Consider the following 12,253-nt stretch of genomic DNA (forward strand, 5'->3'; position numbering starts at 1 on the left):
AACAGAGGCCCCCCCAACAACCCCGCGACGCACGTGCTCTCAGACACAGTTACACCTGAGGGCCACCCAGAGGGCTTCTGGCTTCTGTTTATTGCGGCTGACACGACACCTGCGACACCCGCGGTCCTTCCACCCAGACCCTCGACCCCAGAGGCAGCCAGGCCGGCAGGCCAAGGGTGCCCAGGCCCAGGCCACCCTCACCACGTGCTTCTCTGAGAGCGCGGAGCCCAGGCGCGTCTTCTGCTCCCGGGGTCCCGGGCGGGGTGGGCCCTGTGCCCCCACCTTCACCCCTAAGGCCGGTCCAGCAGGGCGTGGACGACAGCAGCGATGTAGGGGAGGCCCCTTCCCGGGGCCCCCTCCTCTTCCAGGATGTGGTGGGGCTGGCACAGTGACTCCTGGGGGAAGGGGCCGGGTTAGCTTCCCCACGGTGCCCCCTGCGGCTTCCGGCCTGTGGCAGGGGGTCGGGGGCAGACCCGAGCATCACCGTGCGCTCGGGGCTCGGCGACAAATGAGACGCAAGAAAGCTGTCAGCGATAACAGAAGGGAGGTGACACGGGGGGTTGGCGGACGCTCCGGGAGCATGAGAGGCCGGCATCTCAGGAGGGAGATGCTGGTGGGCACAGAGCCATGGCCACAGCCACCAACACGCGGAGCAGACGCGCGCGCGCGCGCACACACACACACACAGGCAGGGCGGCCACGGTCTGTACAGTTTATACACAGAGATAGGGACCCGGCCTGGGCCCCGAACCCCTACAAATATAGATCCTCTCTACAAAATAGAGATAATTTAGCCCCCCCATAGCAGCTGTTGGGGGGGGAAGGGGAGGGCACAGGAGGAAGGGGGAGACTCCAGCTCCTGCCACCCCTCACGGGGTACAGAGGGCAGGGGCAGGGCCGGCGGGGACATGAAGGCACCGTCAGCACTGAGAGGTGGGGACTCGTGGGGCTACTGGAGGGAGGCCAGAGGCTGGGGGCCCAGGGTCTGGGGGCACCAGAGTGGGGCCTCTGAGGTCAGTGTCTGTGAAGGGGGTGCACTAGTGTCTTTGGTTGGGGCTGAAGGCACCGCAGGTGGGGTCGGGTGGAGCAGGGACCTTATAAATAGAGAGGAAGGGAAAGGGGTGAGGGAGGGCCGATTTTGGGGCCTAGGAACCCAGGAGCCGAGTGTAGGTGACATAGAGCAGCAGCATGAGGACCACGTAGAAGACGACGAAGCCGCCCAGACCAGAGGGGGGCCAGAGGGGCGGTAGGGCCTTGCCCCCCACCCGCTTCACGGCCTCCAGCGCGGTCCGCAGCCCCCGGGCAGTGCCCTGGAGGAGATCCGAGGGCGAGCACAGGTCAGCCTGGGGGAGAGGAGAGCAGGTGGACAAGGACAAGGGACAGACGTCAGCAGCAGCAGCAGGACAGTCCCTCCCACCCCTGCCCTCACGTGCTGGGGCCAGAACCACGCCCACATGCTGACGTGCTGGGCAGGGGGAGTGCAGTGCAGGAGGAGTGCAGGGCAGGGCATGTGCAGGACAGGTGACATGCAGGACAAGATGGGGCCTGCAGGGCAGGGGATGTGTAGGACAGGTGACATGCAGGGCAGGGGGCATGCAGGGCAGGGGGCATGCTGGGCAGGGCAGGGGCAGCCTGTGCCTTCATCTGAGAGCAGACATCCGCTGCAAATGGAAGCCCACCATCCATGCCACATGCTCGGCTGAGTCCGGCATGCCACCACTCTTTAGAAAGCAGCCCCCATACCTCAGGCACCCCCATTTTTCGACAGGCTTCTAGAAAACTCTCCACATTCTTCCGAGCCTTGAGGGCACTGAGTTTTGGCTGGGGTGGGTGAAAGAAGAAAATGTGGTAAGGGAGAGGCCACAGGCGCCCCGGCCCATCCCCCACCTCTTCCCCAGCCCCAACTGACCACAGCAGGGGAGGGCACATGGATGAAGGGCACGGAGCGCGGCCGTAGCTGGTTGGCCAGCTGGCACAGGATGACCCCACTGGCCAGAGCCTCGGCCAGGTCCTCAGGCAGGGGCCGCTGCAGCCGGGACTCAAGGACCTGGCAGTGTAGACCACATAGAGCAGGGGTCAGGGAAGGAGAGGCGTCTGGGAGGCAGGGAGAGTGGGGGGCTCAGGGCTAGCAGGGAACTTGTGCCTGTCCCTTCCTGTCCTCAGGGGAGGTGCCAGAGTGGGCACAGAGGATGTGGAGGGAGGCTGGTCCCAAGGACAGCAACACAAGGAGGTGCCCGGCCCAGGCCCCTGCCCACGCAGCTCCCGCCTCTGCTCACCTGGCGCAGCTGAGTCATTAAGTCCTTCTCATCTGGAACCTGGGGGTACCGCCGAGGTCTCAGGACAGAGTCTGGTGAGGAAGGGCCTAGGAGAAAAAGGGGGGCATGGGGCTGCCTCCACTGCTCACCACTGACTCTGTAGCTGGGTCCCAGTGGCCTGGCACCTACACCTCCTGCCTCTCTGCTTGTGGGATTTTTTTTTATTTCATGGAGATGGGGTCTCGCTATGTTGCCCAGGCTGGTCTTGAATTCCTGGGCTCAAGCGATCCTCCCACCTGGGCCTCCTAAAGTGCTGCGATTACAGGTGTGAGCCACCACACCCGGCTTGCTTGTGGGATTTTCAACGCAAAGGTACAAAAGGTACAACAGACCCAGAGGGCTCCCAGGGCAGAAGGGTGATGTAGCCGTTGGTGCTGGCAAGCACTGGGTCAGCACTGGGGAGGGCAGGACACCCACCTGAGCCACTCTGAGAGGAGGAACGGAAGAGGAAGCTGTTTGGTCTCTGAATGGAGCCAAGTGGCCGTGGAGCAGGTGCTGTCGCTGGGGCCGGAACCAGGGACACAGCGACAGGGGCAGGTGAGACAGGCATCCCCTCTGTGTCCCTCTCTCCCAACCAGCCCTCACCAACACAGGCCCCATCCTCCTCCCAAAATCCCTGTCCCACCTGGTCCAGCTATGGGAAGGGGCTCTTGGGAGGCAGGGGCAGGGGCGGGGGCTCCCTGCCCCGCTGCAGCCCCTGCTTGGGAGGCACTGGACTTAGGCGAGCCGCTGAGGAGAGACAGAAGGGAATTAGAGGGATGATGGTCATAGGAAGAGGAGTGGGGAGGGGATGCTGGCAGGAAACCTACTTGTGCATGGCTTGAGTGGACACGGCGGCGGCCCCTCCCACAACAGCCCTGAGCCCTGGCTTCAAGAGGCTGGAACAAGGAGAGGTGGGGTCAGCTAGCCCCAAGGCAGAACGGCTCAGCGGGGCTCGGTGGCCCCATTTCCAGGGCTCAGTGTCCAGCAACAGCCCCGGGCGGCCCTGGGTCCCACCTATCCTTCCTCGGGGCCCCCCACGCCCCGCTCTGCTGCTGCTGCCGCCGTTCCCGCTCCTGCCACAGCTGCAAGGTGTCCGGGCGCCGCCGCTCCTCCCCTGCCGGCTCCTCCCGCCTGAGGGACCAAGACAGGGCAAGAGGGGCAGACCCCGGGGTCAGGGAAGGAGGCGGTTGGGGGGTGGGAGGATCGGGCAGTGGCGTCAGTTTGGGGGCTTGGGGTACCTGCTGCTTGGTGCCCTCTCCCTGTCCCCTGCCCCAGGGCTTAATTCGGGTGGTCGCTGCTCCTAAGGAGAGAACAGCAGAGCAGCTGAGGGCAGGCCTGTGCCCACGCCTGCCCTGTCCCCTCCTCCAGCTCCCCTCCCTTGGGAGAGGCATAGCTGGGCTCTCACCTCCACAGTGCCTCGCTCTTCATCCTCCCCGGGGACATGGCTGTCGATGAAGTCAATCTGCACAGGGTCTCCGTCCGCTGGGGAGGCCAGCATGTCAGCAAGTGAGCGGGGACCCAGGCCCTGGTCCAGCCCAGCTCCCGGCCAGCCCTGCTACTCACCTGAGCCATCCTCCTTGCGTTCTCTGGGTCCCCGGGGCTCCCGGGCCAGCTCTGAGATCCGGAATGACAGCTCTGAAAATTCATCTGTTGACTGTAAAGGCAGAGGCAGAGATGGGAGATGGCCTCTCTGTACATGGGGGCTCAGGACCTGGGGGGTCCTGTGTGGGACTAAGCTCAGGGTCTCTGCTGAGCCAGCCCTTCCCTGGGATGCTGGGCAGAGGGAAGGAAGAGGACAGCTCCAGCCTCTGCCTGGCACCCTGCAATTTGGAGGTCCCCAGTTCAGAGGTGCTCTCCCAGGGCTGACACCCTCAATCACCCATGGACAGGACGCCCTTACCTCATTTCCAGACCACCTCTTGCTGCCACTATCAACGCTGTGGAAGCCTGAGTCCAGCCCACCATCGTACCGATGTCCCGGAAATAGATCCTCTGCAGGGCTGGGGCCAGCCAGGCGGATCTGGTCAGCCTGATGCTGGACAACAGCCCCCCATCCTCCTGCCAGAAAGCAGGGGGTGCCTGGGGCCGGGAAGGGGCATTCAGTATCCCAGGGCTTCCTTCCTCCCCACCTAGGACTTACCAGGGACTGAAACTCGGGGGCCGAGAAGGGGCCAGGTCCCCCAGGGCCGACCCACGCTGCCCGGCCTCTGTGGACAAATACTTGAAGATGTGAAGTTTCCCCTTCAGGCAGACCTGTGTGCGGGGCAGCACACGCCAGGGAGTTGGCAGGGAGGGCAGCTCCCCGGATCCTGCTCAGCTATCCAAGGGGACCAACCCCACTCCTGCCTAGCCACACCCCTGTCCTCGTGGCCCCCCAGGCACCCGCCTCACCTGGGCAGGTGGACTCTGCAGAGGGTTGCTGTCCAGCAGAATGACCTGCAGGTGCCTCAGGCGGCAGAAGGAGACTGGGATTCGGGAGACGCGGTTACAGGAGAAATCCAGGCGGACCAGAGGGAGGTCCCCCAGCTCTGGAACAGGTGGGCAAGGGAAAAGTCAGGAACATGCTCAGGGCTGTGGCCTCGTGCTCACTCCCTCACCCTTGGCTCCAGCTGGCCAGTCACCCTGGGCCCAGCACAGCCTCTCCCCTGGGTGGCTCAAGTCATTCCCCGGGAGAAACCTCCCTGCTCCTCTCTCCACATGATTCTGGTCCACGGTCTAAGCGAGCCTCCCTGAGAGGGCCCATCTGGACGTCAGCTCAGCTTCCCCGGGAAGGCCCATCCGGACGTCAGGTCCCGCCCAGCCCTGTCTGTCCTCCTCATCTCCTCGCCTGCCCACTCCACACTCGAACCCACCCTCCATTTTCAAATGATCAGCACAAGGCACAAACCCTGTTCAAACACCTCCTGTGACATGCAACCAGGGCTGCAGATGTTGAGCGGATTGTGGCCGCCCGGGAGTCCCCTTTCCCCAGCACGGGCCCAGCACTGCACCCTGCATGAAATGCTGCCTGCCCACAGGGAAAGGTGCCTTTTGCTCATCTTAAAAAGGCACAGTCTGGGACCGGCACGGTGGCTCACGCCTGTAATCCCAGCAATTTGGGAGGCCAAGGCGGGTGGATCACAAGGTCAAGAGATTGAGACCACCCTGGCTAACATGGTGAAAACCTGTCTTTACTAAAAATACAAAAAATTAGCCGGGTGTGGTGGCGGACGCCTGTGGTCCCAGCTACTTGGGAGGCTGAGGCAGGAGAATGGCGTGAACCTGGGAGGCGGAGCTTGCAGTGAGCCGAGATTGCGCCACTGCACTCCAGCCTGGGTGACAGAGCGAGACTCTGTCTCAAAAAAAAAAAAAAAAAAGGCACAGTCTGGATTCATGGCGGCCCTAAGCACAGAATAAAACCCACAGCTCCCTAACCCAGCATGAGGAAGGCTTCCACAACCTGGCTCCACCCGCGTTTCCCACCTCACTGCCCACCCCTCCGGGCCCTCAGCTTCTGAGCCTTCCCAGGTGCTGTTTGCTCAGCTGGGAGAACTCCATTTTCCCCATCCATGCATCTTTCAAGGTTCAGCTCAAGCATCACCACCTCCTCGGTGGATCGTTCCAGACATCCCAGATTGGATGGAACTCATTGCTCTTGCCTCTGTCCCCAGGACATCTTGCTTGGATTTCTTTTTATGGCCCAGAGAGAGCCCTTCCTACCCCTTTTGACTGGGAAGGAAGAGGGCAGGTGCAGAAAGGGTCAGGGAGTAGGGAGACAGGGAAAGTGGATGACCACCTCACTCCCTCCTTGTTCTTCAAAACCAAGTTCACACTTGAGCATGGCACAGGCCTTCCTGCCATGCCTGGCTCACCTTCCTAACCCCATGCTTTGCACATGCTGGGTCCTCTGCCTGGATGCAGAAGGCTGGGGAATTCTCCTTCAATGTTCGGCTCCCACTGCGCCTGCGCCTCCGGTGAAGTCTTCCCCAGGACCCCCACGCAGAGTCCAGTGCCACCTCCCTCTAGCCCCCGTCTGGGGAACCCCCTGACGGAACTTCCCTATGACTGTCTCTCCTCAAGAAGCCATTAAATCCCTAAGAGATGGCCCCAGATCTTAGTCACATCACCCGCATCTACCTGATCCCAACACAGGAATCATACACACATCACACACACACACACACACACACACACACACACACACACACAAAACCCACACACACGCAAACAACATACATACACACAGACACAAACAACATGCACAACACACACATAAACATACACAACACATACACACAACCCACACAACACACACCCAAACACACACAACACATACAACACACACAACACAGACCTAAACACACACAACAGACATAAACACAAACACACACACAAAGACACACACAGACACAAACACACATACACATGCACAGACACACACGACATAACACAGACATAAACACAACACACACACAAACACAGACACACAAACATACACACGCACACACACGACATAAATAACACAGACATAAACACAACACACGAACAGACACAGACACACATACACATGCACATAGACACACATGCACAGACACACAGACACATGCACAGACACAACACACACATACACAAACACATACATACACACAGACACACACATGCACGCAGACACAAGACATAACACACACAGACACACACACATGCTGCTGCCTGCTGAACAAAAGGCATGCCTGCTTTGGGGCAGAGGCTATCAGTGCATCACAACAAGCACATTAGATGGGCCACCTGGGCTCTGGCACTGGCCCTGGCATCTCCGGGAGGAGTGGCGGAGCATCCCGACTCAGGTGTTTGAGAGCCCCTGCTGGGGTGAGCAGGGCTGCTGGGTGACCTTGAAGGCCCCTTCTGACCTTGCCAGTCTACCTAGAGCTGATGCACCCACCAGCTCCCCTTCTGTGCCTGTGTCCACGTTTCTAACACAGCTGCTCATCTGCGCCCTGCCAGCATCAGAGGGTTGCTAGGTCAAGATCAAATCAGATCGTTTACAGTTTGTTTTATATACTGCAAAAGCCTGGACAATGAAGGTGTAATTCTCCTCTGAAGATTCCTGGCCTGTAACTTCTTCAAAGCACATACACTGTTATGGACTGAAATGTGTCACCCAAAAAGTCCTCTGCTGAAATCCTAACCCCCAAAGTGATGGGATTAGGAAGCGAGGCCTTAGGGAAGTAATTGAGATCATGAGGGTGGAGCCCTCATCAGTGAGATTTGTGCTCCTTTATCAAAGAGGCCCCAGAGGGCTGTCTCTGCTCTCCGCCATCGGAGAGTACCACAAGGAGCCGGCAGTCTGCAGCCAGGAAAAGCACCCTGCCAGAAGCTGACCATGGAAGCACCCAGATCCTGAACTTCAGCTTCCAGAACTGTGAAAAATGAATGCCTGCCATGTATAAGCTACCCGGTCTGCAGTGTTTTCGTTACCGCAGCCTGAGCCAACTGGGACGCACATACAAACACCTCCTCTCCAGTTCTTCATTCTTCTCACCTTCGGGCAGCGTACTGAGCTGGTTCCTCCGGACATTGAGGTCCCGCAGGGAAGAGAGGCCACACAGTTCCGAGGGCAGGGATTGGAGCTCGTTGCTGCTCACGTCCTGGTATCAGGAAGGCAGTGGGAAGGGGCCATGAGACCAGGCCCAGCAGAACCCACCCTCCCATCTCTGTCTTTGCTCCAGGCCCTCCCCAACCTCCCCCTAGAAGGTCCCGCTGCCTGGCTCAGGGGTCCCTTTCCTGGTCCCGTCCCCATCCTCACAAGCTGTCGCAGGCTTCCCAGGGTGCCGATGTCAGGGGGCAGGGCTCCCAGCTTGTTGTTGCTGACGATGAGGACCCTCAGGGGCAGCTGGCAGATGTAGGGTGGCAGCAGCGACAGCTGGTTTCGGCTGTGGAAGGGAGAAAGGCAGCGGACTGGCTCCCCAGGCATGGCATCCCAGCACTGCCATCCTCTCGGGGTCACTGGGTGGGTCACTCAGTAGTACTTGAGACTGAGAAGCACACGCTCCCACGTGGCCCTGGCTCGGCCTCCCTACCTGAGGTTGAGGTAGGTGAGGGCTGTGAGATTCCCCAAGGCTGGGTTCAGGCATCTCAGGCAATTGTGGTAGAGGCTCAGGCCCTCCAGGGACACCAGCTGGCACGCCGCCTCGGGCACCTCGGGAAACCGGTTCCGGGACAGGTCTGGGGAAAAGGAGGTGTCGGGGAGAGTTGCGGAAAGGCCCAGCCCGGACAGGACCTTCAGTCCCCCCAGAGCCGGCTGCCCACTCCCTCACCTCCACACCTAAAGATTCAAGGCCATCAATGTGGCCTCCCAGGAGAGATAACAAAGCCTTCTGCCAACGGGAGCACATTCCAGGCGTGACCAGAATGGCACAGGGAAGGCAAAGGCCTTAGCGTCACTGGGCTAGAGAAGCCTCAGACTTGGGGGTTGGGGAATGTCAATGGAGGGCTATCCTGGAGAGCAGCTGGAATCTCTAACTCCTGTGGTTCCTGTTCAGAGATGCCAGGTGAGGCGGAGGACCGAAGGTGAGAGGAGGGGTCAGTGCTCATGGGAAAACAGTAAGGCGAGGGGCTGGGGGGCTCCCGGAGGGAAGATGGGAAACCCCTGGGGCAAACCACAGGGAGTGCCCATCCCTCCTCGGGGCCCTTCTTCCCTACTCCAGTGTGTTTTCAACACGGGAAAAACCACAGGTCACTCTATCTTGGTTCTAGAGATAAAGTCCCCGACACCGGACGAGTTTTTCGCCAGCCCCAAGGACCAGCAAGCCAGGTCCAAAGAATCATAAAGTTACTGATTCCCAAGGGCTGGGAGGGAAGGGCAAGAAGACCTGGTTGGAGATGGGAGCTGGAGTTCCCAGGTCCCTCCCATCTGGGCTTCTCTGGCCCAGGGCAGGCATCCTTCCTACCCTCTGCTAGCCCTAGCAGCCCGGCTCTGCTTCCTCTCTTACTGACACAGACTTCAAGAGATCAGCAACTGTGTGAGCATCTCAGGCACGGCGAGGGTGGAGAGTGTGGGAGGGCCTGGGGTCTACAATCGCCCTCTTATCTGGAGCACTGCCTTGCTATGCGGAGGCTGGCAGCCTTGGGATTCCCTGTAGCACGGACCCACTAACGGCTTAGACCTGGAGAAGCCTGCCTTTCTGTTTCCTCGGCCCAGCCTGTCCTGGGAGGGGCCCAGGGCCCGCGAGGCGGAGTCCCAGGCCACAGACCTGGTGAGCTTCTCCAAGGGCCCTTCTCAGGGAAGGGCAGGCCAGCAAAAGCAAGCAGAGGAGAGAAGCCGGGTATATCCCCCAAGGAAATGAGTCTTGTGACAGGAAATGAAGTAGAAACAATCTGTCAGGTTCTGGCTCTGGTAGGCCCCGTGTTTACCAGGGTGGATGACAGCCTGATGCCCCGGGACCCCTTTCTCTTCCTCTCTGCCCAGCCCTGGTGCACAGACAGAAGCCCTGGCCTCAGAGATGACCGTTCTGGAGAGGGTGGGGGGATGGCATTTGCCCCTCCCAGCCTCGCCTCCACCTGCCCGCTTTCTCTGCAAATGTGTTTGTGTGTGTGCATGTGGACGAAGGGGGTGGAGACCGAGTTCTCAGAGTTCTGATGGGGTAGGCGGTGGCGGGGACAAAAGCTAGGAGCGGAAGGGAGCTCAGGCAGGAGGCAGGGCACTGGGGGCACAGGATGTGGTCTGGGAGAGAATGAGCTGCACTTCTCCTTTGCAAGATGGCCCCTCCCCGCCACCTCAGGATTCTTCCTACTATCACCCCAGGGAGCCTAGTCCAAGGGAGATCAGGGACCCAAGACTAGGCGACACGCAGCGAAGACACTCAGAAAGAGATGGGAGACGGGAGGGGAAGGCTCAAGGCAGTCCGGGCAGCAAGGCACTGATGCTTTTCGTCTGCTTGGAGGGCGAGGAGAGATGGAGGGCAGGGTATGGGCAACTGTATGTTTTTGTCACTTCCCCTTTCTGTCCCTGCTTGCGGAGAGGGGACAGAGGAGAGAATTCTGGACAAGAGGGACCCCACTTGGCCTAGAACCTGGGCCCTGTGTAGAGAGTGGGGCAGAGGAGGGTTCTTGGGAAGCTGGGATTTCCGACCCCCCCCCAAGCTCACAGGAGCACGGCTGCACCCTGAGCCGGAATGCTGGGGGAGGAGGGGGCCGGGGGCGGGAGCTGGGAGGGGCCGGGGAGCTCCGGGTAGTTTTCCCCAAGAGTCCACACAGGGAGAGACAGCCTAAGGAAGTAAAGAATAACATTTGGTCTTTGTCAAAAAACAACCAAGGGGGAGGGGAAGGGAACAGACAGTGAGTGTCACACAGCTGCTGAGGTCAATCTGGAGTGTGGGGTTAGGTGGGGGTGGGAGGGAACAGGGCTGTAAGGGGCAGGAATGGCTCCTGGAGCTCACTCATTCCCCATCTCAAGTGTTGCAGAGCAGGCGAGATCAGTGGGGAGGTTTCGACTGGTTCTCCCCAGAAGAGGGAAGAGGATGTGTGCCAGTGCCGGCCTGAGTGTTCCCAGGTGAGCAGGCACCTGCTTAGGGAGAAGTAAGCACTATCCTCCAGCTCTGGTCCCCCACCGTGCAGATGAGAGGAGGAAGAGGCCTGGGCTGGGGTGAGGCTTCGGGAATGCAGTCCTCCTCCCTGATCCTGATCCCCACCCCCAGCTGCCGGCCCAAGGTCATAGGCTGCCTCCTGAGTAGCTGAGGCTTGACTCACCTGTCACAGTTAAGTCCCCCACCCCCTACCATCCACAGACACCAGGGTGGAGGGTGCATGGTTGGACAGATCCTGCGGGTGGAGGCGTGGAAGGACAGTCTCTAGCTGGCCAGCACTCCCAGCTAGGAGATAAGATTTCCTTCCCTCCAGCAACGGCCTCAAGTCCCTCCCCCGGGGGAAAGCAGAAACTGAAATGGGAATTCTAAGATCCCTATGAGGTCACAGGCTCCACAGTGACCTCACAGGCTTAGGAAGGAGGAGGAGGAATCTCAGATAAGCCGGTTGGGGATAATAGGCGGAAGAGCTCAGGGAGAAAAGAGTGAGGGGAGGTAGAGATTTGTTTCTTTCCCATAGGCTGGAGAGCTGCGTGGACAGTGGAGAGGGCCAGGACCTTAGGGGGCGGGGTTGCGGCACAGAAAGCAGAAACCTCGGGCTTAGGGGCCAGTCACTGGGAAGGGGGTGCCCGGGGCTGCTCGGATCTCGGTGGGACGGGGGTTAAGAGGTGTAGATGAAGAGGGAGAGAAAGCAGTTATTAGAGGAGCTCGTGGGGACTGCTTCATAGACCGATTGGAGCTGAGGTTAAGAGATCATGTAAATAAGCCAACCAGGTGAGGGGCGGGACCATCCTACAGGTGCGCAGATATGCAAATAAAGAGAAAGGAGGAATCTCTCCCAACGCTCGGAGGCGCAGGGCGTTCTGTGCAAACGAGAAGCACGTTCATTGTCTAGGGGGTTCTCAAAGATGGGAGAGGATGGCTGCAGGTTTAGGGCAATCAGGAGGGGCAGCAACCCTGGCCGCCAGGTGAAGGGGCGGGCCCGACTCCCGGGCCGGGCGGGGCCCGGGGTGGGGCTATGCAAATGAGGGACCCGGTTGGGCCCGGGGCCCGGCTGCACTCACCAGCCTGGGTGATGTCTGACAGGTCGTAGCTACGGGCCGCGCCCCGGGGGAAGTGCTTCAAGCGCCGGTTAGACAGGTTCAGGGTCCCGGTGGCCACGGCCTCCTCTAGGGCCCGCTCTGCACTGCGTCTCCCCGGCAGACCTGGAGACCCGGGCACGGAGGTCGTGGCTGCCGCCTCCTCACCCCCGGCGGCGAGTGGAGCCGCTACGGCCGCCGCCATCCGCTCCCGGCGGCTCCCGCTGCCTGACTGACGGGACCGGCCGTCCCTCCTTCCCCCACCCCCTCCTTGGAGCCGCCGTAGTTGCCTCAAGGGGGAGGGAGCGGTGTCCGGGAC

The 12,253-nt window shown here is 60.4% G+C and overlaps 1 protein-coding gene across 23 annotated transcripts, besides 9 other annotated features; it reads right to left on the minus strand.

Annotated features, from left to right (window-relative positions):
* Nucleotides 1-49: 49 nt before the first annotated feature.
* On the minus strand, nt 50-12,168 carry LRCH4 (leucine rich repeats and calponin homology domain containing 4). Of its 23 annotated transcripts, none has more exons than XM_047420384.1 (18): nt 11,920-12,168; nt 8,354-8,498; nt 8,080-8,206; nt 7,816-7,921; nt 4,689-4,825; nt 4,438-4,504; nt 4,198-4,355; nt 3,861-3,951; nt 3,703-3,779; nt 3,536-3,597; nt 3,312-3,428; nt 3,125-3,193; nt 2,941-3,044; nt 2,733-2,816; nt 2,277-2,362; nt 1,910-2,047; nt 1,744-1,821; nt 50-1,343 (listed from the first exon to the last, which is right to left on the minus strand). In XM_047420384.1, exons 1-18 carry the CDS (start codon nt 12,137-12,139, stop codon nt 1,146-1,148), a joined length of 2,064 nt encoding a protein of 687 aa, XP_047276340.1. In that variant the 5' UTR covers nt 12,140-12,168; the 3' UTR covers nt 50-1,145. The 23 variants fall into 23 exon arrangements, 22 of the variants coding, with proteins under 22 accessions (XP_047276340.1, NP_001276863.1, NP_002310.2 ...); NM_001289934.2 differs by having other exon boundaries at nt 50-395; nt 4,198-4,297; nt 4,438-4,550; NM_002319.5 differs by having other exon boundaries at nt 4,198-4,297; nt 4,438-4,550.
* Nucleotides 803-1,357: an enhancer, noted in NCBI's record as "H3K27ac-H3K4me1 hESC enhancer chr7:100172387-100172941 (GRCh37/hg19 assembly coordinates)". NCBI's record gives its function as "activates a minimal SCP1, AML or CMV promoter by ChIP-STARR-seq in naive H9 embryonic stem cells {active_cell/tissue: H9 hESC(naive)}" and the evidence as "EXISTENCE:reporter gene assay evidence [ECO:0000049][PMID:30033119]".
* Nucleotides 1,358-1,911: an enhancer, noted in NCBI's record as "H3K27ac-H3K4me1 hESC enhancer chr7:100172942-100173495 (GRCh37/hg19 assembly coordinates)". NCBI's record gives its function as "activates a minimal SCP1, AML or CMV promoter by ChIP-STARR-seq in naive H9 embryonic stem cells {active_cell/tissue: H9 hESC(naive)}" and the evidence as "EXISTENCE:reporter gene assay evidence [ECO:0000049][PMID:30033119]".
* Nucleotides 9,643-10,331: an enhancer, noted in NCBI's record as "H3K27ac-H3K4me1 hESC enhancer chr7:100181227-100181915 (GRCh37/hg19 assembly coordinates)". NCBI's record gives its function as "activates a minimal SCP1, AML or CMV promoter by ChIP-STARR-seq in primed H9 embryonic stem cells {active_cell/tissue: H9 hESC(primed)}" and the evidence as "EXISTENCE:reporter gene assay evidence [ECO:0000049][PMID:30033119]".
* Nucleotides 9,785-10,079: an enhancer, noted in NCBI's record as "tiled region #8670; HepG2 Activating non-DNase unmatched - State 16:ElonW, and K562 Activating non-DNase unmatched - State 2:TssF". NCBI's record gives its function as "activates a minimal TATA promoter and a strong SV40 promoter by Sharpr-MPRA in HepG2 and K562 cells {active_cell/tissue: HepG2 | K562}" and the evidence as "EXISTENCE:reporter gene assay evidence [ECO:0000049][PMID:27701403]".
* Nucleotides 10,052-10,211: an enhancer, noted in NCBI's record as "active region_26374". NCBI's record gives its function as "activates an Ori minimal core promoter by ATAC-STARR-seq in GM12878 lymphoblastoid cells {active_cell/tissue: GM12878}" and the evidence as "EXISTENCE:reporter gene assay evidence [ECO:0000049][PMID:35858748]".
* Nucleotides 10,477-10,990: an enhancer, noted in NCBI's record as "H3K27ac-H3K4me1 hESC enhancer chr7:100182061-100182574 (GRCh37/hg19 assembly coordinates)". NCBI's record gives its function as "activates a minimal SCP1, AML or CMV promoter by ChIP-STARR-seq in primed H9 embryonic stem cells {active_cell/tissue: H9 hESC(primed)}" and the evidence as "EXISTENCE:reporter gene assay evidence [ECO:0000049][PMID:30033119]".
* Nucleotides 10,991-11,504: an enhancer, noted in NCBI's record as "H3K27ac-H3K4me1 hESC enhancer chr7:100182575-100183088 (GRCh37/hg19 assembly coordinates)". NCBI's record gives its function as "activates a minimal SCP1, AML or CMV promoter by ChIP-STARR-seq in primed H9 embryonic stem cells {active_cell/tissue: H9 hESC(primed)}" and the evidence as "EXISTENCE:reporter gene assay evidence [ECO:0000049][PMID:30033119]".
* Nucleotides 11,646-11,695: a silencer, noted in NCBI's record as "silent region_18445". NCBI's record gives its function as "represses an Ori minimal core promoter by ATAC-STARR-seq in GM12878 lymphoblastoid cells {active_cell/tissue: GM12878}" and the evidence as "EXISTENCE:reporter gene assay evidence [ECO:0000049][PMID:35858748]".
* Nucleotides 11,736-12,165: a silencer, noted in NCBI's record as "silent region_18446". NCBI's record gives its function as "represses an Ori minimal core promoter by ATAC-STARR-seq in GM12878 lymphoblastoid cells {active_cell/tissue: GM12878}" and the evidence as "EXISTENCE:reporter gene assay evidence [ECO:0000049][PMID:35858748]".

This window comes from Homo sapiens, chromosome 7 (genome assembly GCF_000001405.40).
Source record: "Homo sapiens chromosome 7, GRCh38.p14 Primary Assembly".
In the NCBI taxonomy this organism is placed as follows: Eukaryota; Metazoa; Chordata; class Mammalia; order Primates; family Hominidae; genus Homo; species Homo sapiens.